This window comes from Homo sapiens, chromosome 17 (assembly GCF_000001405.40).
Source record: "Homo sapiens chromosome 17, GRCh38.p14 Primary Assembly".
In the NCBI taxonomy this organism is placed as follows: domain Eukaryota; kingdom Metazoa; phylum Chordata; class Mammalia; order Primates; family Hominidae; genus Homo; species Homo sapiens.
The window spans coordinates 52,510,989-52,537,344 of NC_000017.11; the positions used below are offsets into that span (position 1 = coordinate 52,510,989).

Consider the following 26,356-nt stretch of genomic DNA (forward strand, 5'->3'; position numbering starts at 1 on the left):
CAACCAAAATTTAACATAAATGAATGCCTATTACACACACACGTGTGCGTGCACACACACACACATGCATGCATGCACATAGTTCAAATGGATCCGCATCCTCAAATAATACATTTTAAGGACAAGAAAAGGAGGAAGAGGAAACCTGTAAATTAAAAGATACTTAGTAGACATATACATATGTATTTTGATAATGGAAGAAAAACTGTAGGGTTTGAAGATGCACATCTGGATGAAAAATTGTAAAATAAATACAAGGAATAAAAAATTGAGGTAGTGATTACCACTTGAGAGAAGGGAGTGGATTGAGAACCAGAGAGTAAAGTATGTTTTCTAGTAAGTTTCTCAAGAAAAGATCATGGGAATAAATTTCCCTGAGTCCTTGCATGTTACTAGCAGTTTATTCCTTCCCACTTGAAAGTCAGTTGAGCTGGATATAAAATCTGTGGTTCATATTTTCTCTCCTTACTATCTCTTAATACTCGTAACAACTGAAACATGCTATTTCATTTTCTTCTGGCATACAATGTTTTGATATAATTTTGTTTCCCTTACAAGTCACTTTTTTGCTTAGTTACCTTGGAGGTTTTATATATCATTCTTTTTCTTCAAAGTTACATTATTTTGCTATATTATATTTTGACGTTGGTCATTCTGGGTTACATAGTATCCAGTTTGATATGTAGTCTCAAGTCTTTTTTAATGTAATAAATATTTTTGAAATATAATTTAATATTCTGTTCTCTTTGATTTTCAGAGACTCTTATCATCTATAAGTTGAATCTTTTCTGCTTATACTTTGTATTTTTGGAAGCTTTTTATCTTTTAATTTTTTGTTGATTTTTCAATTTTTCATCCTTTGCACCTTCTATGTTTTCTATGGCAACATCATTTTGTTTATCCCTTTTAGGTTTCTTGCAATTTAGCCTTTGTATTAGTTCTCTACTGCTGCATAACAAGTTGTCACAAAATTTAATGACTTAAACTAACAATAAAAATTATTTCTCACGATTTTTTTCTGAGTCAAGAATTCTGGCATGGCTTGGCTGAGCAGTTTGACTCAGAGACTCTTATGGGGTTGCAGTTATTTGAAGAACTGATTGAAGGATGAAAGATTTACTTTCAAGGTAGCTAATGCATATGGCTGGCAAGCTGATGAAGACGATTAGCAGGAGGTCTCAGCTCCTCTCTGTGTTGGCCTTTCCACAGTACTAACAAACAGAATGAGCTCAACAGGTAGAAGATAGCTTCTCCCAAAACAAGAGATCAAAGAGGCTAAATGGAAAATGCAACACCTTTTATGGCCTAGCCTCATAAGTCACATGTCGTCTCTTCCACAGTACCCTATTGATCAGTTCTGTGTCAATGTAAAGGAGTACTAAAGAAAAATACAAATATTAGAAGACAAAAGTCATTGAAGTCCATCTTGGAGGGTGCCTATCACAAATTAATATCTGGAATAATTTTTAAAATAATATGTATGTACATATGTTGTGAGTTCTGTCATCTGCTTTATGAGTTTTCTTCTAACTCTGAATTATGTTGTTTATACCTATCTATTTCTTAATGTCTGTTAACATTTGTCAATATAAAAAGTTATTGTTTTGATCTGTCCTTTGAGCAAGTATTTCTGGTGTGTTTTGTTATGTATAAAAATGTTTTTTTTGTTCAGTAGTCTATTTTCTTTTATGACAATTGTTATAACATTTGACATTAATATTTTTCTATTACTTATTTTTATATTGTGAGTTCCTATTACTTATTTTATATAGTGAGTATTTATTGCCTGTTTTGAGATTCCACTCTTCTCTGGTGCATTAGATGTCCTATTGCAGCCCCGTGCTCTCTTAAAAACAGAGATGGTTACTATGCACATAAAATGGCTGTTGGTTGTCTTTACCACTTGTGCTTTGGAGCTCAGGAGGTTGACTTGTCACTTAAATTTTTTTTTTAATAAGTTGTCAGTAGGTTTTTAGTATTTCTATTTAGTTGTCCTCTTTGTTTTTATATTGATAGTTAAAGGTATCCAAAGCTATGCTGCCACCACCTACCATTTCTAAAATCTCTTTAGTGATTTCAATCTTAATGTGAATGCTGCTGCCATTAATAATTTCTCAAATGTGCCTGAATATTTATTTTACTTTTTTAGGGTTGATAATCCTATGTTTGTGCATCTGATTACCTGGCCTGTGGACTATGCTTCTATCAATGGGCAGTGAGATGAAATATATGAAATATATGGCCCTAAGTGTTCATCTATACTCAGGCACACATGTGTACACACATGCATGCATTTTCTTATATTCAAAAATAGACTATTCTGATTCTTATTAATTAGTGTAAAAAAATCAAGTCCAAGATTTTTGGACTTGCACTTTTCTGGGCCTTTGTAATCTTGAATCAATATTGTAAAATCTACAGACTAAAATTTAAAGTTAAGACTACCAATGCATACAATGCACAACAGAAGGTGAAAGGGAAAAGAAAGGAAAGCGAAACTGGTTTTAAAAATACAACTACATATTTTGACATGCAACTGAATATGCATTTTAGCTAAATGCTGGATGGCTTAATGTTAAAATTAATAGTCAGCTGAACCTTGATATTTCCATCTTAAAATTAACTTTTAGAATACAGAAACAAATCTTAAATATTACTGCAAATATAAATATTATTAAACTTTTCATATTGAAATTTTAGTGGTGAAATTTTGTAAGTTTGAAATTATGGTGCAAAAACAATAATTGCTCTGCTGTCAACTACTAGATTACTTCTAAAATCATTGTACTGCCTATTTGTGATTCTAAATAGATGTTGGCTTTCATGCTTTTCTTTAAGGTTACATCACTTTCTTCAATAGTTTTATTTCATACTATTTTTATTCTTTAATATATTTGAATCAAAAATATAAGATTAGGTATTTATATAAGATATAGTTGACTTCCTCTTTTCTTATTTGAATGCCCTTTATTTATTTCTCCTGCCTGATTGCCCTTGATAGAACCGCCAATACTATGTTGAACAGGAGTGGTGAGAGAGGGCATCCTTGTCTCACAGTGGTATTCAAGAGGAATGCTTCCAGTTTGATATTGGCTGTGGGTTTGTCATAGATGGCTCTTATTATTTTGAGGTATCTTCCTTCAATACCCAGTTTATTGAGAGTTTTTAACATGGAGATATGTTGAATTTTATCGAAGGCCTTTTCTGCATCTATTGAGATAATCATGTGATTTTTGTCTTTAGTTCTATTTAGGTGATGAATCACACTTATTCATTTGCATATGTTGAACTAGCCTTGCACCCTGGGGATGAAGCCTACTTGATCACTGTGAATAAGCTTTTTCATGGGCTGCTGGATTTGGTTTGCCAGTATTTTGTCAAGGATTTTTGCATCAGTGTTGATCAAGGATATTGGCCTGAAGTTTTCTTTCTTTCTTTCTTTCTTTCTTTCTTTTGTATCAGGATGATGCTAGCCTCATAGAATGAGTTGGGTTGTCCTTCCTCCTTAGTTTTTTGGAATAGTTTTTATAGGCATGGTAGCAACTCTTCTACCAAATCCCAAACTATAAAAACCCTAGAAGAAAACCTAGGCAATACCATTCAGAACATAGGCATGGGCAAAGATTTCATGATGAAGATGCCAAAAGCAATTGCAACAAAAGCAAAAACTGACATACGGGGTCTAATTAAACTAAAGAGCTTCTGCACAGCAAAAGAAATTATCAACAGAGTAAACAGACAACCCATAGAATGGGAGAAAATTTTTGCAAACTATGCACCTGACAAAGGTCCAATATCCAGCATCTGTAAGGAACTTAAACAAATTTACAAGACAAAAACAAACAACCCTATTAAAAAGTGAGCAAAGGACATAAACATTGACATTTTGCTTTTATTTTATACTCACCAGATGTTACGAATCCCTAATAAGGCTTTTCTTAAAATACTCATGTCTTTAACTTAATTAAGTCATTAAATATATATACATGTATAATTTAATTTTATGAAGGCTAATATATAGAAATTATTTACTGACTGAGATTAAGATATACACAAATTTTCATTACTTTTTCTTATTAATTATACCTTATGAACATCTTCTAGTTCAAAATAATAAAGTTTTTCTAATATTATGTAATAAATTATGTCTTTGTATTAACTGTCAAATTATGTCTCCATTTTTGAGCTATATGAGAGTTTTTTGTAATTATTTTTATTCATAAAATTAAACCCATATATCAACCTAATTAATTATGACAATATTTTGCTACTATGATAATACATATATTTTTCCTTGACCTAACTGATGGACTTTCAACATGTAAAATGTACAAGAACAGTATGTCAAGGTAACATCATGAATATTTATCTATATGTGATAATGAATATTTAAATATTAAAATATATATGAATATTGATTGACCAATTTAAACAAATCTTCCTTTCATCTAAAAAATTAGCAATAAATTAGACAAAATATATTTTTAAAATATAGCTTGAAGACATGAGATAATTAGAAAAGTGGTGACAAATTAATATCGAAGAGAGAAACTTAAAGATGTAATTCCTGAATTTTATGGCTACTTTTTCCCTAGGGTTAACTTTTGGCTCTAGAAGAAATGAGAAGAACGTAAGAAGCTGAACAGTACTTTTGATGGTTTCTCAAGATGTACAAACAAAAATTGGAGCCCTGGATCCACCAAGCTTGGGTTGGAGGCCTAGTGAACCTCCTACATCTTAGATTTGTATTATAAATGGTTAAATTTTAGAGCAAGGGTGAATCACAAGTGTGAAGTAAGCCCTCACAGCAACTGAAGGCAAGTTTTGACTTGTCTTAAACACTGAAATTGGATTATGTTGATCCTTGATTGATTATATCCTTAGTCATTTTTCATAAGCAAATTAAATCTGATCTGGAGGAAATTACTATCATTCTAGGTCTCAAATTATTTTAATAGTCTTTCAAATAAATTTTCTGGTATTCACAATCAAAAGAACAGACACATGAAGAGTTCTGTGAGTAGAATTGTGTTTCCCAAAAGACATGTTGAAGTTCTTGCTCCTGGTAACTGTGAACGTGATCTTATTTGGAAACAAAGCCTTTGCAGATGTAATGAAGTTAAGATTAGATCATTGCTAGTTTGAGTAGACTGTAATCCAATAAGAATGGTGTCTTCATAAAAAGATAAAAGACACAGACTTAAACAGGGGAATGCCACATGACAACAGAGGTAGAGATTGAAATTATGTATCTGTAGTTCAACGAATGCCAAGGAAACAGGAACATAAAACAAATACAGGAGAAATAATACACAATGGAATCAGACCCACAGGACTCATGTTAAAATCATTATTCCTATATGTCTGGTAAAGATGGCATTTGTGAATTTACTGTTGAGTCTTCAGCTCTTCTTCAGCATAAACCGATGATAGTTAAAACATGAAAAGAGAACATTTAAAATTAAGATAAATATCTTCATGGACCAAAAAGTACATGGAAAGAAAGTGGTGACCAGAAGATAAACTATAGTATTGGTCACATCAAAGTCCAAAAATAGCGAAAGGGGGCTGAGGCTGTGAGTATGACTCCTAGAGAAATTACCAGAAAAGAACAACAAAAATACCTGGCACAAAGTGGGGGTCCTGAGTCAGGCCAACTGCTTAAAGCAGGGGATGGAGTGGGGGTCCCTGTCAACCACTGCCTGTGGCTGCAGTTTATATAAAGATCTCTGCCAATAAAGGCAGAGGACAAAGAGCCTCTGAATAGATCCTGAAACAAGCTGCTTTCTACTTATTTTTCCCCACAGAGTCACATACAAGATTTACATGTAAATAGTAGTGACAGAGGGTCTTGTGATTTTGTGGACATTACCACAAAATCACTAGACCTGGAAAGTAAGCTGAGAGAGAGAATGAATGAGAGAACCTCAAAATTCATGAAGAATACGGAGATTGCTCTCAAGCCACCAAAATCACTTTTCTTCTTGCATACAATGTCAGAAAGCACATCCAAGCTTCTTTGGACGTTAGATAAAACACATGACTATATATTTTTGTGTAGAATGTAAACAGCAATGCAATATGCTGCTTCCCATTTTGACCTACTAAATAAATCTTATGAATTATCCTCTATACCTCTATACTTTTTTCCTTGACTAGGATGGCTAATACCCAGGACAACTCTGAAAGCCATATACTGAAAATATGACAGGCATAATTCAATGATTCCCCACATGATTTTCTGCCCCCTTGTGTTGACCCAGTGATTCAATCAAATGTCAGTATAGGTGCTGCTGTGAAGAGCTTTTACCAATGTAATTAGGGCACTACATCAGTTGACCTTAAGACAGAAAGATTATCTTTGGTCAGTCTGACCTAATCAGATGAAACCTTAAAAAGAATTGGGTTCTTAATGGAGATTTGAAGTTTGAGAGGAATTTGACCTGAGAGATATTATCAGTTGCTGGCTTTGAAGAGGGAGGGGGCAAGAAATGAAGGTGGCCTCTGTGAGCTGACAAAGACCTGGCTGACAGCCAGCAAATACTGGAATCTCAGTTCCTCAGCATGGAAGAGAATTCTGCCATCCTCCTGAATGAGCTTGGAAGTAAAATCCCTAGAGCCTCCAGAAAGAAACACAGCCAGGCCAACACCTTGATTCTCTCATTGGAAAACAAAGAGCAGAGAATTTAGTCACGTTGTATCTCCACTTCGGACCTCCAGATCTCTGAGTTAAAAAATGGGTGTTATTTTAAGCCAGTAAGTGTGTGCTAGTTTGTTATGCAGCAATAGAAAACAAATACAGAAGATGGCAGGGCCACTGTCACTCTGTGTGTGAATAATCCCTATGGAGGAGAGCCATCCTAACTGAGATGAACACCCTTTCTTGACTACTATGCAAGTCTGAAATAAACAAATTGTTAAACTACTGAAATACTGAGTCTATTTTTTTACCAGCCTACTTTACCCTAATGAATACACTGAATGATAGAAACGAATTATGCCATTTATTTAACATTTACATATGAGCAAAACAGTAGTATCCATTTTGAACGAACTAATACACATTTGAATACTCACATAAGCATGGGCCAGAAAGAGATACCTTCACCTCTTTTGAACAGGTCTTAGAGAGAGACACCACTTCCGTGGATGGCATCCTGGGGCCAAATCTAGGGGAGTGTATTTAGATATAATCTAATGGGAATGAGAGTTATGTAACAAGTTAGTTTGAAAGGAAGGGTGATATAAGATGGATAAAGTATACAAAAGGGGCTATGGTGTGGTTTTAATTGTTAGTAATACCTGGAGTAAAAATGGCAAAATGTTAAAATTCATTAAAGCATGGAACTTTTTCATATATTTGAAATAGTTTATAATAAAGCGTGATTATAAACTACATGATAATTTATCTCTTATCACACATGCACACATGTATGGGAATTTAATTTATGACAAGGGTGGCACTATTAATATCCATATAACAATGAACACATGGCCGCTATTAGCAGTGGGGTATAATTTGTGCCACTGGCATTATTACTCTGAGTAAAATTTTTGATGTTAGTTTTTACTTTCTCATTACCCATCATACAGTAATGAAGTGGCCCCTAGGAGAGGAAACTTGAATTCTGAAAGTGAGCTTTAGCCAGGCACAATCGCACACACCTGTAGTCTCAGTTATTCGGGAGGCGGAAGCAGGGAGGATCCCTTGAGGCCAGGAGTTTGAGGTTGCAGTGAGCTATGATCAAGCCACTGCACTTCAGCCAGAGTGACAGCAAAAATTGGAGGTAAAACATGTCGAAAAAGGATCTCTTGGCCTTGTTCTGTGCAGGAGACATGCAAGGGAAGAAGAAAAGACACACACACATGACACCTTTAAGGGTAAACTCTGTTCTGTTCTCCCACACAGAACAGGCTTTCAAGGAGTCCTGAAGTTTCTTCAGGGAAATTCAGGGCAGGAAACTCTAAAGCATACCTTTTCCTAAGCTAGCAATACATAAGCCAGAAAGCATATGGTTACACTTATATTCTTTATTTATTTTTGTACTTTTTTTCTTTTTTTTTTTTTTTTGAGATGGAGTCTCGCTCTGTCACCCAGGGTCGAGTGCAGTGGCACCTCCGCCTCCCGGATTCAAGTGATTCTCCTGCCTCAGCCTACCAAGTAGCTGGGGTTAGAGGCACCTGCCACAAGGCTTGGCTAATTTTTTTTTTTTTTTTTTTTTTGTATTTTTAGTAGAGACAGGGTTTCACCATATTGGTCAGGCTGGTCTTGAACTCCTGACCTCATGATCCACCCACTTCATCCTCCCAAAGTGCTGGGATTACAGGTGTGAGCCACCGTGCCCGGCCCTGTCCTTCTAAATCTTTAGTAGGTTTTTAAGTCTTATTTAAAAGTCTTGTCTCTTGGCTGGGCACAGTGGCTCATGCCTGTAATCTCACCACTTTGGAAGGCTAAGGAAGGAGGACTGCTTGAGCCCAGAAGTTCAAGACCAGCCTAGGCCACATAGGCCCTGTCTCTCCATTTTTTTTTTTTTTTTTTAATTAGCTGGGCATGGTGGTTCGTGCATGTAGTCCCAACTATTGGGGAAGCTGAGGCTGGAGGATTGCTTGAGTCGGGGAGGTCAAGACTTCAGTGATCTGTGATTACACCACTGCACTCCAGCCTGGGCTACAGAGTAAGAATCTGTCTCAAAATAAGATAAAATAAAATAAAATAAAAATCTTGTCTCAACTATGCTAAGTGACATTAAAAAGTTGTTTGCATATTCTTGGTGACAGTGGTCATTAATAATATATTTTTAAGCGAAAATGAAACTGGGGACACAGGAAAAAGCTGCAACTATCAGCTGTTTGACCCCACATGGAGAGTCTCATTCTATGGTCAAGCTAAGAGAACATAGTTTTACAGTAGTGTTTCTTAAATGCTGTTAAGCTTATTTTCTAGAGATACAATTCTGATGCTGTCCCCACCCTCTAATGATCAGCATCCAAACTATTATTACATTAATTGATTACAAGGGTGGCACTATTAATATCCATATAACAATGAATACATGGCCACTATTAGCAGTGGGGTATAATTTGTGCCACTGGCATTATTACTCTGAGCAAAATTTTTTTTTATTGATACTTGAATTTCATCACAGTCTCTCACCTTTTTTCCCTATCCACACTCCAACAACTATCTTTGAAGTAGTTTCCATTTTCATCTCATTACTTTTCTTTTTCTTTTAGATTCATGGGGGTACATGTGAAACTCTGTTACAATAATATATTGCACGGTAATGACATATAGGTTTCTACTGACCCTGTCACCCAGATAGTGAACTTAGTACCCTACTACAAAGTTTTTCAGCCCTTGCCTTCCTCCACTTTCCCCACTTTTGGAGTCTCCACTGTCTGTTGTTCCCATCTTTATGTCCCTGTGTACTCAACGTTTAGCTCACCCTTGTAAGTGAGAACACGCAGTGTTTTGTTTTCTGTCTCTGCATTAATATGCTTAGGATAATGGCCTCCAGCCGCACCCATGTTGATGCAAAGGACATGATTTCATTCTTTTAAGTAGCTGTGTAATATTCAATGGAATGTATGTACTATATTTTCTTTATCCATTCTACCACTGATGGGCATCTAGGTTGATTCCATGTCTTTGCTATTGTATTAATAAATAGTGCTGCAATAAACATATCAGTACAAGTGTCTTTGTGGTAGAGAATTATTTAACTTTGAGGATATATCCAGTAATGAGATTGCTGGGTTGAATGGTGATTTCTCATCACATTATTTTCTGTTTTTCAGAGGCACCTTCCTACATACATTACCAGAAAAACAAAGCAAAACAAAACCTACTGCATATAGTTATTCTTCCTTTGTTCTACTTGCTCTCTACATAAGGAGGGTATTTGAAACTTCAGACACCATTTTGCTGCTATGAGGAAGCAAGTATGAAGATGAAAACTTGGCTAAAGCTATGGCTCTCAACTTCTAACATGCATAAGAAAAACAACTAGGAATCTGGGCTCTGATTCAGTAGGTTAGGGTGAATTTACCCATAAATTTACACTTCCGACACACTTCTGATGATACTGATGCTGCTTGCCCATGGACCACATATCGAGTAGTGCTAGGCTAAGATATGGCAGATAGAAAGAGCCTATGACTCTGTCCCAGAAAGATTGGGCTGCTATAACAAATTACCATAGATTGGGTTGCTTAAACCAGAAACATTTATTTCTCATGATTCTAAAGACAGACTTCAGAGATCCGGATGCCAGAATAATTAGTTTCTCGGTGAGGGCCCTCTTCCTAATTATTTCCTCACAGGGCCTTTCCTTGGTGTGTGTACACACACACCTACAGATCTCATGTGTTTCTTCCTCAAACACCTCATACTCCTGGACTGAAGTGATCCTCCTCCTCCACCTCCTCCTTCCCCTTCCTTTTTGAGACAGGGTCTCTCGCTCCCATCGCACAGGCTGGAGTGCAGTGGCATAATCACGGCTCACTGAAGTCCTGACTTCCTGAGCTCAGGTGATTCTCCAGCCTCAGGCTCCCAAGTAGCTGGGACCAAGAGGCGTGCGCTACCACGCCTGGCTAATTTTTGTATTTTTTGTGGAAATGGGTTTTCACCATGTTGCCCAGGCTGGTCTTGAACTCCAGGGCTCAAGAGATCTGCTCACCTTGACCTCCCAAGGTGCTGGGATGGCAGGTGTGAGCCACTGCACCTGGCCTCTTCCTTTTTTGAGGACATCAGTCCCATCATAGGGGCTCCACCCACATGATGTCATCTAAACCGAGTTACCTCCCAAAGGCTCCATTTCCAAATACCATCACTGGGATTAGGAATTGGGATTTCAACATATAAGTTTTGGGGGAACATAAACATTTAGTTCATCGCTGACAACATTGCAGAGCAGTTGAATTAATGGCAGCAATAGCTGTATTCTGGAATTTTTCTTATGTGAGAAAAATAAACCAATAGTTGTTTAACCCACACTTATTGTTTCTTTCAGCCAGTCTTATTCTGACTGTTAAAAATCATCATTATTATCAAAATCTTCAGCATTATTATCATGCTAGTCATTATTACACAGTGTGCTGGGCAGTATATGCATTCTTTAGATATAATTATTTATGCCTAGGTCAATACCCAGAAGAGTTTTTCCTAGGTTTTCTTCTAGAATTTTTATGGTTTAAGGTCTTAGATTTAAGTTTTTAATCCATCTCGAGGTAATTTTTGTATATGGTTAGAGATAGGGATTCAGTTTCATTCTTCTACATGTGGCTATCCTGTTTTCCCAGAGACACTGGGAATGCTTATAAACTGCTGGTGGGAATATAAACTAGTACTACCTCTGTGGAAAATAGCATGGAGATTTCCCAACTAAAAGTATATCTACAATTCGATCCAGCAATACCACTAGTGGATATCTACCCAAAGGATATCTATAAAGAAGTCATTATATCAAAAAGACGCCTGCACACCTATGTTTATCACAGCACAATTCAAAATTGCAAAGACATGAAATCAACCTAAATGCCCATCTACTGATGAGTAGATAAAGAAAATGTGGTGTGTATATATGTATACATATGCATATGTACACAAACACAGACACACACACATACATCATGGAATACTAAGCCATAAAAAAGAATGAAATCATGTCTTTTGCAGCAACTTGGATAGAACTAGAGGCGGTTATCCTAAATGAAGTAACTCAGAGACGGAAAACCAAAAGAGGGGATGTAGGGAGGAGGTGAGGGGTGAAAAAAATCACCTATTGGGTATAATACACACTATTTGGGCAAAAGCCCAGACTTCGCTATGCAATTCATGTAACCAAAAACCTCTTGGACCACTATAACTATTCAAATAAAAAATAATTTAAAAATTATATAATTTTCTGTCCAGGTGTGGTGACTCATGCCTGTAATGCCAGCACTTTGGGAGGCTGAGGCAAAGTGGATTGCATGAGGTCAGGAGTTTTGAGACCAGCCTGGTGAACATGGTGAAACACTATCTGTACTAAAAAGACAAAAATACTAAAAATACAAAAATTAGCTGGGCGTGGTGGTGGGCACCTGTAGTTCCAGCTACTCGGGAGGCTGAGGGAGGAGAATCGCTTGAACCTGAAAGGTGGAGTTTGCAGTGAGCTGAGACAGTGCCACTTTACTCCAGCCTGGGTGACAAAGCAAGATTCTATCTCAAAATAAATAAATAAATAAATAAATAAATATTTTAAAAAATTAAAAAGTTAAAAAATATATAATTTTTTATCAACCCTTCCAGCAATTCTGTGAAATGCATATAGTTTTCTCTATGATAGAAGAAAGTAAGAAACAGTTTAAATGGTTTAGCCCAGGTTATATTTAGAACGCTGCTCTGCAAGCCAAATTCACTCAAATTCCCTTGTTCTTAACCTGTGTTATAAACCACCTCCTACATGGAACATATATTTAACAAAATTTGGTGGATGATTTACATTCTCTTGCATCATTCTAATCAGAGACTTTTTGTCTTACCATCTTACATGACTTACTACTTTCTCTAACATTGTTTATTCATTTCCACATAAACACTTAATGCTATGAGTAAGTTTCCATACTGAACTCTGAGGTAGGCCATCCCAGTCGTTAAGGAGATCACAAGCTAATAATAAGAGACTCAGACAAAAAAAAAAATCCCTTCTTATAATACAACTTGTAACTATTACAGTGGTATTACAAGAAAATAAATTCTACAATTTTGGATAGGTATTTATACACAAGTCATTTTCCCTACTAGGGTTTAGCTTGGTAAGATTAGAGTCTGTGTTTTTCTGATTTTGGCATTTTTAGCAACTGCAGATTATATGAATGAGAAGTTTTCTAAAAATTTGAATTAATTTATCCCCCCATAGCAGCATATTTTGCACACATGCATACTCACATACACACATTCGGCTTTATACATAAAGAGGGTATTTCCATTGTTTTTCGATAAACTTTTTATTGAAAGGCAAAAATACAGAGATTATTTTGCAGCTTAAAAAGAAGAGAAATTAATAAAATATCAATGAAAGCTTAAGTTATCATGTATTGAGCATGTAATATTTGTCACACTACATTCTTTACATGTATATTTAAAATAATTACAACAATCCAGAAATGTAGAATCATGTTATTTTAATGACAAAAATATCTGAAGCTCAGAATAAATAACCCTTGTAAGTCAAGGGTCAGGCTGTTTTGGGAAATAAAATTGTTCTGTTGTCTATGGCTGGTTTCACTCTACAATGGCAGAAATGAGTGCTTGTGACAAAGCCCATATGGTCCATAAAGCCTAAAATATGTATTATCTGGCTCTTTCTAGAAAAAACATTTCTAAGCCCTGAAGTTGCTTCCGTTTATTCAGTAGCAAGTCATAAAGACTAAGTGTAAGCAGTCTGCCTGTCTCTACACACCATTTAGATAGGCTTTGGAAACCTCAGACTCTGATTCTCAGTCTCAATTTGACTAGGTGCTAGCTGTGAAACCATGGGAAACTTCTCAAACCTCTCTTCCACTTTGCGCCTTCATCTGTAAAATGGAGATAATAGTAGCATACGTCTGATGGTGTTGTTATAAAAATTAAATATGCTGATTTACATAAAACCCTAGTCACAAGACTTGTTACCTTGTAATTGCTTAGGATGTGTATGAACTTACTACCTCTGTTGTTGCCACCATTACTTTTACCTTCATGATACTATCATTTTTACTATTACAATGACCACTCTAAAACAAGGCATTCCTATAATCCCATGGTTATTTTTATTGCAAGTTACTGTTAAGGCCCTATTTCTTATTTCCTATTTTTGTGCTTTTTATATTTCTTTCCACCATTTTAGAAATGGTTGTGGCATTACCATGATATTTTTCTTACTCGTAATGAGGTAGCGATGCTCTTGTTATAGATCAAAACCAAGACTTGTATCAAGGTCTTGGCAGAAAATGTGATTTTTGTATATGTGTGCCTATGTATGGCAGGGTATCTAGCATAGAACAGGGGCTGAATGATTACAGAATTAATGTTGAAGAATTAGACAATAGGTCACATATGAAAACTAAGGACAGATACAAAACACTACTTAATTTTCTAGGGCAATAATAGGGAGTAGATATTTTGTCTTTGAGAGAGAAGCGATAAAAACTACTTGAATCTGATATTTCAAGTCTTAGTAACTATTCCTTTATTCTCTGCCTATTTACATATTGTACTTGTTATCTGTTAGCCAGCAGCCCACTTTTTTTTTGGCATACACTTGGCACTCCCTTACATTAAAATAGCTACGGGGATTTTCCATTTAAATTATTTTCCACCCCAGTGTCATTTTGGGGAACTCGAATCTTTCTGTAATGAAGTATTCAACTCCAAGTAAGACAGTTGGCCTGCACTGTGCAAAGCAAGCTCACTTATAAGAATCTTGCCGGGACAAAAAGGAGAGTTAGGAAGTCTCTTGTGTTTTCCCAGTGCTTTTGAAATTAATAGCTGGCACATTTTGAATCACAGCACAAGAGCAACAAAACAGAAGATCTATTTTAATAGACTTGAATCTATACTTAGAAGGACACAGTGAGAGCAAGGAGAAAATGAATTTGACCTTTATTTGCTCTAAAAGGATCTTTATGTAGGTAAAGGAAGCTGTGCAACAAAATAACAAAGTTGTTGCCCATGGTACTGTAAGTACAAACATCTTTCCTTCTCAGGGAAGAGAGATATTTTGCTGGATTTGAAAAACAACAGAAAACAAAGCATTTATTGACAGGCAGTGAGGTCTGATTGAAAAATGTAAATATTAATTCATCTGAACACTTAACTAATTAGGAAACTAGAGAGAAATTCAGTGGAGTTTTGAAAAAGGTAGCAGGTCAATGGTGAAGATAACATGGTATAAAGAGTAAGTGAAAGTAAATTTCCTTCCTCAGAAAACTAACACCCTTGATCCACTTATTTGTGATTTTTTTTTGTTGTTGTTTGTTTGTTTGTTTGGGACGAGTCTTGCTCTGTTGCCCAGGCTGGAGTGCAGTGGCATGATCTCAGCTCACTGCAACCTCCACCTCCCAGGTTCAAGCGATTCTCCTGTCTCAGCCTCCCGAGTAGCTTGGACTACAGGCGCATGCCACCACACCTGGCTAGTTTTTGAATTTTTAGTACAGACAGGGTTTCACCATATTGGACAGGCTGGTCTTGAACTCCTGACCTCATGGTCCGCCCACCTCGGCCTCCCAAAGTCCTGGGATTACAGGTGTGAGCCACTGCACCAGGCCAACACTTATTTGTTAATTTAAACATGCATTATGTGTTAGATGCTGAGGAATCTGATAAATAGTGCTTATTTTAAAGTTGATTTTAGTTTAGTGAGACGTGCAAGTAAACATACAATTACATTTGATAAATGCAGTGGTAGAGTTATACCAGGATACTGTGTGATATGTTTGGCTGTGTCCCCACCCAAATCTCATCATAAACTGTAGTTCCCATGATCCCCACGTGTCATGGGAGGACCCAGTGGTAGGTAATTGAATCATGGGGTCAGTTACTTCCATGCTGTTCTCGTGATAGTGAGTTGTCAGGAGATCTAAAGGTTTTAAAAGGGGCTTTGCCCCCACTTTGTTCTTCACTTCTCCTTGTTGCCAACATGTGAAGAAGGACATGTTTTCTTCCCCTTCTGCCATGATTGTAAGTTTCCTGAGGCCTCCCCAGTTATGCTGAACTGTGAGTCAAACCTCTTTCCTTTATAAATTACCCAGTCTAGGGTATGTCTTTATTAGCAGCCTGATAATGGATGAACACAGTGTTAAGTCACAGTGAAGTGGGATGCAGGATGTGGTTTACAGTGATACATGAGTTGCTGTAAAAGCTTTGCTCATTTTGAAAGCAATATAATCCTAGCTTCATAAAATAAGTTGGGAAGTGTTAATTTTTCACTTTTCTGGAAAAGATTGTGAAGAATCAGCATTATTTCCTACTTAAATATTTAGTAGAATTAACCAGTGAAAGATTTTTAACTGTAGATTTAAATTCTTTAATAGATGTACGGTTATTTAACTAGTGCATTTTTTTTTCCTAGAATTAGTTTGTGTCTTTGAAGGAATATGTTCTTTTTTTCTGTATTCAAATTTCTTGGCATTAAGATGTTTATTTGATGTTTCCTTATCACATTTTAATGTCCATTGTAGTAATATCTTCTTTATTACTGATAATGTTGTATCCCATTTTTTTCTTTGTCATTCTTGCTAGAAGATAATGAATATATTGACTTTTATTCAGAGAAGCAGCTTTTAGCTTCATTGATTTTTTCCATTGCTGTTTGATTCCCCATTTCATTAATTTTTAAATCTTTATTATTCCTTTCTTTCTTCATGTCTTTGGGATAATTTGATCATCTTTCCTTGGATTCTTAGGACAGAATTTGAGGTCTTTTGTTTGAAATCTTACTTATTTTTTCTAATATACATTTAATGCTATATATTTTTCTTTAAACACTGCTTCAGGTAAATTCCACAGATTTTGATATGTTTCATTTTCATTTTCATTGGATTCAAAATATCTTCTAGTTTCCACTGAATTTTCTTATGTTATCCTTAAGTTGTTTAAAAATATTTTGTTTAATTTGCAAGTATTTGGAGGATTATTCTGATATTATTTACTATACTGTTATTGAGTTTCAGTTAGTTTGATGTAGTCAAAGAACATATTTATATGATTTGAATCCTTTTATATTTATTTAAACTTTTTATGACAAAAATGGTTATCTTTGTAAGTGTTCTGTATATGCTTTAAAAGAAGGTACATTCTGCTATAGTTAAATGGAGCGTTCTAAAATATCAAATCGGTCAAATTGGTTGACAGAATTGTTCAGTTATTCTGTATCTTTACTGATTTTCTCTGAACTTTCTTTAAAAATGCTATTTTTTCTACAAAACTCCTTTAATTTTTCAGAGTGTTAAATATCCAACTAAAATTGCAAGTTTTTCTAAATCTACTTTCTATTTTCTTAACAAATGTATTTTGTATAGTTTGTACTCTACCATTGACCGCATACACATTCGGAGTTTTTTTATTTTTATTTTTATTTATTTTTTTTTTTTGAGACGGAGTCAAACTGCAACTCCCAGGCTAGAGTGCAATGGCGCGATCTCGGCTCACTGCAACCTCCGCCTCCCAGGTTCAAGCTATTCTCCTGCCCCAGCCTCCCAAGTATCTGAGACTACAGGTGTGTGCCATCATGACCAGCTACTTTTTGTATTTTTAGTAGAGATGGAGTTTCCCCATATGGCCAGGCTAGCCTTGAACTCCTGACCTCAAGTGATCTGCCCACCTCGGCATCCCAAAGTGCTGGGATTACAGGTGTGAGCCACTGCGCCCAGCGACATTTGGAGTTTTTATATCACCTTGATGAACTGATCCCTTTATTATTAGGAAGTATTCTTCTTTATCCTAGATTATAATTCCTTGTTCTAATATCTGATTGTCTAGAGTTAACGTATGCCCTCAAGCTTTCTTTTAATCAGTGTTTAAAATAGTAGCTGTTTTTCGATCCTTTTACTTTCTACACACAAATACACAGATTGTGTGCATAAAGTGTGTATGCATAAATATATATAATATAGATAATATGTATATTGTATATATTTTTTCTAACGTGAGTTTATATCCTTTCAGGTCTTTATTTTTTTTAATTCAATGTGACAACTCTTGACTTTGAATTCGAGTGCTTAGACTGTTTACATTTAAAGTAATTATTGTTATGGCTGAATGTGAATCTAGCACCATACAGTTTACTTTATATATTTTCTTTCAACACTTTTTTTTCTTTTTTGCTTTTTCCCTGCTTTTGATTTCACTTTTTATCCATCATTGGCTTACTACTAATAACTCTTTGAGTGTTTTGTTTTATTGTGGTTCTACAGTTTACAATAAACATTATACCACTCCATTTACAGTGCAAGAATTAAACCAGTATGTCTTCATTCTTCACTCTTTGATTTCTTTGTGTTACTATCGTCATACATTCCAATGGTAATTTTTACATTTTTAAATATATATTTATTAATTTTCCCATCAGGCTGCTAGCTATTCATTTGTTGTTAATTTATAATTTTTATGTTATGAGAAGGTGCTCTACACTTCTCTTTTTCAGAATTCTAGAATTATGGTTTGTTTTCTACTTTAATTTTAAATTTATTTCTAGGAGATAACAAAGATATTACATGTCTTTAGAAAGGCTTATTTCTCACATTCCTTTGACTGTTTCAGATTTAACACAAATAGCATCTCTAAGAGGTAGTTAGAAAGGTTGGTCGTAGTTTTAAATATGTCTGTATTTATATATCCCAAACAAAGAGCATTTGGGGAGATATTTAAGTATATTTTCTGTTAATCTTTTTTTTTTTTTTTTTTTTTCTGAGACAGAGTCTTCCTCTGTTGCCCAGGCTGGACTGCAGTGGCACAATCTCAGCTCACCGCAACATCTGCCTCCCGGGTTAAAGCAATTCTCCTGCCTTAGCCTTTCAAGTAGCTGGGATTACAGGTGCCTGCCACCTCGCCTGGCTAATTTTTGTATTTTCAGTAGAGACAGGGTTTTGCCAAGTTGGCCAGGCTGGTGTCAGACTTCTGACCTCAAATGATCCACCTGCCTCGGCCTCCTAAAGCGCTGGGATTACAGGTGTGATTCACCATTCCCAGCCTATTTTCTGTTAATCTCTATGTGAATAGTATTAACATGATGAAATGAGATGTATATGTCAAAGTTATACCTAAGCTATTAACACACTCTATAGAGTGATAATTATGCAAATAATGTAAGTTAGTTGTAATAATGTTGGTATAACAGTAGACTGAGAATAATTATAAGGAAGATTGCTAGGTAATATCCTTTTTAAACATTTTTTCTGTGGATGTAACAAACAAAAATTCCACCTTTTGATAATTTGGAATATGTTACTGAAGAGGATTCTGCTTAAATTTATCTTTTGACTCTTAATTAGCTCACGTTTAATTAACTTAATCAACATTTATGTATCTGCTGTTCTATGAAATGTATGTTGAGTGAAGGGGTTGCAATGAGAAGAAATTAGAGCTCCGTGGATCTGAATTGAGAGGATGCATATTGCAGCATCAACATGGTCTTTCAGAGATGCTAAGGGAGTTAAAATTAACATAATACCACAGAAGCATGATCAAAGACTTATTTGAATGAAAAAATACACAATTGTTACAGATATGCTAATGTTGACTTTCCAATATACTAAAATTGATTAACACTGAAAAACCCCTCCTTTTATAGAATGTAACAAAATGTGAATTGAATTGTGTCTTTTTGTTTGTTTGGTTTGGTTTTGACACAGTGACATTATGCCAACATTTTTTGAGGCCAGTATTTTGTTTTCAGTTTCTCCAAAGTGTGCTCTACACATTATGATGTAATGAATGGCAAGGTTACATAAGGGAGATAAATTATCTTACCTCCCTGACTTCCTTTTTCTGAATTACTAAGATGCAGTGAAAATCTTGATTTTTCTTTTTGGATGTTGTTTCAAATGTGAATATATTAGGCTTCATGGGTTTTTATCCAAGATATGTGTTCCATACCCCAATTCACTCAAAATAAAAGTTAGAGTACAACCCGAAATGGAAATATGACTATCGCAGCACTCTTAGGAAATGCTAATGTCAAAAGATTTAGGGAACTTCTAAAAACATCAGAAATGTCCTACTTTCAAAGCTTCCCTTAAGTCTGTCCTCTTTAGAAATTGTGAGGGATAGCATTAGGAGATATACCTAATGCTAAATGATGAGTTAATGGGTGCAACCCACCAACATGGCACATGTATACATATGTAACAAACCTGCACATTGTGTACATGTACCCTAAAACTTAAAGTATAATAATAATAAAATTGAATTAAAAAAAAAAGAAATTGTGAAGTTATTTCCTGTATCCTGAAGGCCTGGGTTGGAATGTTCTAGTCCCTTCCTAGCCCTCCAGATAGCAAGCTCTGTGTCTTTGAGGCAGATGGACACACTCTATTTTTATTCTAGGGCCAGAGGTATAGATCGCAGTAGGTACCTGAATAAATAAAATTTGTAGCATCTATTCCTCTGGAAAATTAAAGTACTGCTCAGAACCAGTTCTTGAAAAATGCATTACTTGATCTATTTCTGTAGGATGCACTTTCTTTCGACAGAAGTTTATCTATTTGACTTGTGAGTTGGCTTCTAGTGAGCTGGCTTCTGACTCTCAATGCTAATACCTGGTTCTTTTGCAATAGGTGTTTTCAGTCATTATTTCTTTTGATATTAAACCAATGGGGCTTTGTGAGATGCCAAATAATTTTTTGTAAGCATCACAGTCCTGGTTTCCAAAGCAGAAGGTATTTAGAATGAATGTCAAATTTGTTCATTTGCTCATTCACTGAATATTTGCTCAACAAATATTTTTTAATTCCAATATCATGCTGATAATTCTTCTTGCTGAAAATCCCTGCCTGAAATTAATTGCCAGATGAATGTAGAGAAACATACATATTTGGAAAAACATAATAAAGAGATCCACAGAGGACTCATAATGAATACCGAGAATAAGGATCAGGGTGGTAGAAATGAGAAGGAGATTTTGCTTGAAGTGAGACATAAACTTCTAATTGGTTTCAAGGTTTATACTTTCAATCACATCATTTAGCAAAAAGGAGTGAGCTCAGCATTTTCTAACCTGTAGACAAGATGAAAATAATTTGTGCCGAATATGTAGTTTTTTCTTTCCTCTTTCCAGGTTTTAAAAAAAGATAGAAATAAAAGAAAGAATAGAAAATTAGGCTAGACATCTTAGTAGAAGCATGAGCCTCTTTTGTAGATTTAGTAAAACCTTATTAATTCTTATTATACTCAAAATGAAATTAAGATAATTTTATAAAGATCTTAGCTGAATTACACATTAACACAGAAAAAAATAATTGCTAAGAAAATTGATATGGAAAATTCTTCAGTATGTAATAACTCTTTTGAAATATACTTAGAATATCTCTTTACATATTATAATTTTGAATAGAATAAAGTAATAAATCCATAGTTTGGAGAAGATTCCTCTGATCATGGTAAATATGGAAAAAGTGATAAGAGATGACAGAAAACAGCAACAGATACCAGTTAAGAGAGAATTATAATGGCTGGGCTTGAGTCAAGGACTATACAAAGATGATGACAGAATGGTGGGGGTGGGGGGCGAAGCATATCTTCAAGCTCTTTTATGAAGAATAAAAAGGTAGACTAGAGTTTGTGTGATTAAGTAGCTTCTAAAACGCTCCCCAGGATTTCAGCCATATAGTATTCACAATCCTGTATATTCCCCTCCTGTCGAGTTTGGGCTGAACCTAGTGACTAGTTTCAAAAGAATAAAATAGGATAGAATTGCTCTAAAGATAGCAAATGGGATGGGATGTCATACTGAGGTTAGGTTATAAAAGACTGACTTTTGCTTTGATCTCTCTGTCTTGTCTCATTTACTCACTCTGATGAAGCAAGCTGCTGTGATACGAGCTGCTGTAAAAACGGAGGCCTCCAGACCAACAGCCAGGGAGTAGGTGGGTTCTGCCAACAACTACATGCGTGAGTGTGGAAACAGATCCATCCCCACTTGAGCCTTGGGAAGACTTCAGTCCTAGCTGGCACCATCATTCAGCCTGTGAGGAACCCCGAGCCAAGAATACAGCTAAGCTATAATTGTATTCCTGACCAACAGGAATTGTAAGATAATATAGCTGCTGTTTTAAGTTATTAAGTTTTGGGGTAATTGGTTACGTAATAATTGATAACTAATACAGTCTAATTCACTTCTCCCTCCGTGTCTCTAATACCCAGAGGCGATCTAATCAGGCTACTTGACTGGGAGAAGTCAAAACAAAGCAACAATAATAAACAGTAAATATCACAAGTATTACTTTATTATTTTGTTACTTTCCTGTAATCTAGTATGTATTTATGCCATTTGATTATTAAAAATTATCTGGGCCATTATTTCCACTTCTGGGAAGGAATCACAGAAGACTAATCCAAGAGAAAATTAAAATTATATGCACAAATTTGCTCATACTATAGTCACCTATAATTTTAGAAAATGGGAAGCTATTGGTTATTCATCTGTGTAAGAATAGTTAAGTATGTTATATGATGCAGCTACTCAAGGGAACATGACCCAAAATTGACTTTGAAGGCTAAATAGAAATAAATTAAATAATTTATGTAGTCTTGAAGTGAAAGGTGCAGAACAGAAAATGATACATCTGCATTAAATTATGTCTGCTCAAAGTACAAAGATCATACCAGAAATGTTAAAATGATTAATTTTTAGTAGAGAAGTATCCTAGAGAGATAATAGGGAAACCATGACAAAATTTTGAAAGACTTGTCTTTGAATATTGCATCAAGAATTAATTAGCTGTGTGATTGTGAGCAAGCATTTAATGCCTTGTCTTGACAAATATGCTAAAGACATAATTATATTACCGATTATTGTTAGAATGAAATGAGGAGTGTGTATAAAGTACCTTATACAATGTTGGCACAATGGCACAATGTTGATGTTTGTTGCCTTTTATTTCTACTGTTGTTAATGTATATAGACATCTAAAAATTATATATTAAATTTCTTGCTTTATACCTGGTATTGCTTGAAAGGAGTGATTTGAACATTTTGTTGCCACCATAAAAACTGATTATACTCCATGCTCTGTTGTGTTGTACTATTTTGTTTGCGACCATTGTGTAACTATTTTGGGATGTCACTAGCAGAATATCTTTTAAAGTACTCTAGTTCCTGCAAATCTTTGTAGTGTAGAGTTTGAAGTTCATATTTCCTCCAAGTTTTGTAAAATATAGTCATATTGGTTAGAGTAAAATTCCATCACTTGACTTTAAGTACAAATGATAAGTTTTTTTATTTGAAGTTGGTTTTTCTAGGGAAAAGAATTTTTCAGAATTTCCTTGGTTTGCTGAACTTTCTATATATATATATATATATATATATATATATATATATATATATATATATATATAAAGGTTATTTTTGTTTTACTCCACTCTCCCCACCCAGAAAGTCTATTGCTTTTGTGTGATACTCTTCTGTTACTTTCTAAAAGTCTGCCTGTGACCATATCATTTGATATTCACTTAAATAATTTATATACTTAAAAACTCTCTGGGTGATCAATGTATTAGACTGATATAGCAAGAACAAGCTGTTTTCCTTGTTATTAAAGCCACATATGTTTGCCCATTTTTTCAAATGTGAAATTGAACATGACAAAAATGCATGAGCATTTTCCTGGGTAATACCGCTCTGGTAATTCAGCAGGTCTATAGGTAGATGGCATAATTTTAACATAGCATTTCTAAAAATTCTTATACACCATCTTTGGTTACATGAAACACTTTATGAAAGTATGTTATCTGTAGAGATTCTGGAAATATTAACTCTTCATCAGATTTTGCTTAAGGTTTCAGTATTCTTAACCCACTTCATTTCTTATTTTTTGTTTGTTACATGGATATAACCAAATGATTTCCCTTTCTAAAATACTTTCTCATTAGAAAGCTAAATGTAGAGTTCTGAATAAGTGTGCTAGAATAAATAAATTAATGATATCAATTGTTAAAAATGGTATAGTTTCTTTCACTCTCAGATAAATTACTCTATATCAATCGCCTCTGTGTTTGTGTGCAGAGGAGAGACTCACATTAGTGGCCACTGGACCAGTGGGAGGAAGAGCTTATGGGAAGAGACTTCTTTGGCTCATCTCATGTTACATCTTGGAGGTAAGTGACTAGTCTCGAAAATATTAGACTAGATTGTCCCTAGCCTGATTTAACACCTTTAAATTATGAATGAAAGAATGGAGGTCTGGTATATTGAATACCTTTTCTAGGTTCCATGGCCATCTAATGGTAGAGACGAGAATGATTGTGCAGGAAGTAACTTCTTTCATACTCAGTTCAGAGTATGTGTTCACATAGAAAATTATGGGATTTGCCTCTGAGATTGAAGAAACAGTATACTGAATGTCATTTGGAGGGTTTTGAAGTGTAGAAAAAGAGAAATATATCTCTTTGGTTTCCTTTCAGTCTGATACACAATAATGTTTTATTTTTGAATGTCATTTTATGATTTACAAAGTGCTTTCATGGGCATTCTATTATTTAATAATAATCCTGTGTGAGCCAGACATTTTTACTTCTATTTCACAGTGAAGAAATTTTGGTTCAGAATAGTTAAGAGACCTTTCAATAGTCACACATTGTGAAGGAAAGAAATTGAGAGAGATTGAAAGAGAAAAAGAGAGAGCTAGAACAAACTCCCAGCATAAACAGAATTAGTCCATCACCCCCAAAATGAAATTATAGGACATTTAATGCTCTGCAAACCATACGTAGCACAGACAATTTCTGTTTACCAAATATTTATGAGCTTCCCTATATTTTCTAGGACTCTTTTAGTTAGATGGAGCTACTTTACTGATAGATAATAGTTCTAGGTAATTTGCTATAAACAGAAGTTCTGTGGGCCGAATCCCTCTATGCTGGCGCGCAACCCTCATTCCTCTCTTTCCCTGCCACAGTGACCTCAAAGGCCCCATCCCAGAAGGCACAGCCACAAAAAACGTGGCCTCCACCAGCATGGATCCCTGAATGTAATGGGATCAGAGCCTCCTGCCCACACCTGGTAAGTATATATCATGAGTAATAAATCAACCTTTTGATATTAAGCCACTAAGATTTCAGACGTAATTTTTATTGCAGCATGAAGTAAAGTATCTTTTAAAAGTAATCTTTTAAATATTACTATTTTAAAGGAGCAAGAAAATTACATTTTTTCCACTATCTTAAGATGTATAAAACGTGTTGCTTTCTGTAGCAGATTTTTTAAAAGACAATTTAGTCAACAAATACTTTTGTCTTTAAATCCTGACATGCACAATAGCACAAGCTCAGTGGCTGGTCACCACTCCAGCACTACTAAATGATGGCAAGAAGACCACTTCCAAAGAAGGAGGGACAGGGACAGCTTCATGGTTACGTGGCTAGTGGGTTTCACACTCAGAAGCTCCTGTGATTAGAGTTTAATGCACTGCACTTACTGTCTTAATAATCTTAATAGATTTATCTTTGAATTTTGTTTTGTAAGCAAAATCTGATGGGACAATGGCACTTGAGCCTGGAGCTTGCCTTGGCTCACATGGTATTGCCTCCATCTCTCTCTCCAGGATGAATTCTCAGCTGCCTGCTCCTCTTATCCTGTGCTCTAGCCTGCCTGGCCCCCCTTTTCCCAATCTGGTCTTGCCACTTTCTGCCACAGGTGGGAACCTGATAGTAGATGGGAGATTAGGGATAGGCACAAGTGCCCTGTGGTATCCAGAGGCAAGAGTAGAGCATAGTGATGACAATCCCTGCCCTGGGCTGACAACTCAGCAGTGAATAGGTGGAGACCAAGGGCATCCAACGCTCAGGTTGCAATATCCTTGGTAATTGCCCATTGCACAGCAGGCTGGGGAAGTGGGCCTGTGGGAAGAGGAGTCACCGTCTGGACTCCTCAGATGCTGTCCTGGCTAATGCATGGTATGTAGTCCAGGCAGCTGTTAAGCAGAGCTTGTGCACACATGGCCTGTGTCATTTGGCAAAACCCTAGGCACATGTGAGGGTCTGGCTCACTCCATGGGTGTCCCCGTGTTAAAGGATGCTTTCCTGGCCTGCTTCATTCCTGGAAGTAACTTCTATTCCTCCTTCCAACTTTCCTTAATCTGGCTTGTGTTTTTCTCTTCTACTAGCTCCAGGGACTCTCTGGGGATAAGCCATGTAATAAGAATTGTGTAATTACGGTGCTTCAGCATACAACTTAATATTCTGATATCTGCGTTTAAAAGTGGACTTGCATAATATAAACATGGATGATAAGATCTAATAATTTAAAATTTTATTTTTTCTTTACTTAGAATTAAATAGCAAATATAGAACATCATGAAGAAACACAAGAGAGAGACAATAAAGGAAAGGAAAAGGCTTTATATTTCAACACACCAAATGACAAGTTTTTATTGATTTTTGAATGAGGGGCTTAGCATTTTTATTTTGCAATGGGTCCTGAAAATTATTTAGCACATCTTGAGGAAGAACCAGCATTGAAAAAAAAAAAAAAAAAAAAAAAAAAAAAAAATGAAAACCCTGTAGAATGTGAATAAATCACCCAAAAGTGAGATATCTTTCAATAAGAATCTCCTGTGGTAAACTCCTGATGCCTTAAGATGCTGTTTAGTTGTCCAGATCGCTTTAAAAATCACAACA

At 35.4% G+C, this 26,356-nt stretch overlaps 1 long non-coding RNA gene across 1 annotated transcript in view; it reads left to right on the plus strand.

Annotated features, from left to right (window-relative positions):
- The window catches only part of LINC01982 (long intergenic non-protein coding RNA 1982), a 145,180-nt gene extending 120,467 nt beyond the window's left edge, over positions 1 to 24,713 (plus strand). The window contains exons 2-4 of the long non-coding RNA NR_146898.1: positions 21,544 to 21,606; positions 23,745 to 23,836; positions 24,637 to 24,713. This is a non-coding gene — a long non-coding RNA (long intergenic non-protein coding RNA 1982). The remainder of the gene's footprint in view (positions 1 to 21,543; positions 21,607 to 23,744; positions 23,837 to 24,636) is intronic.
- Positions 24,714 to 26,356: the final 1,643 nt, after the last annotated feature.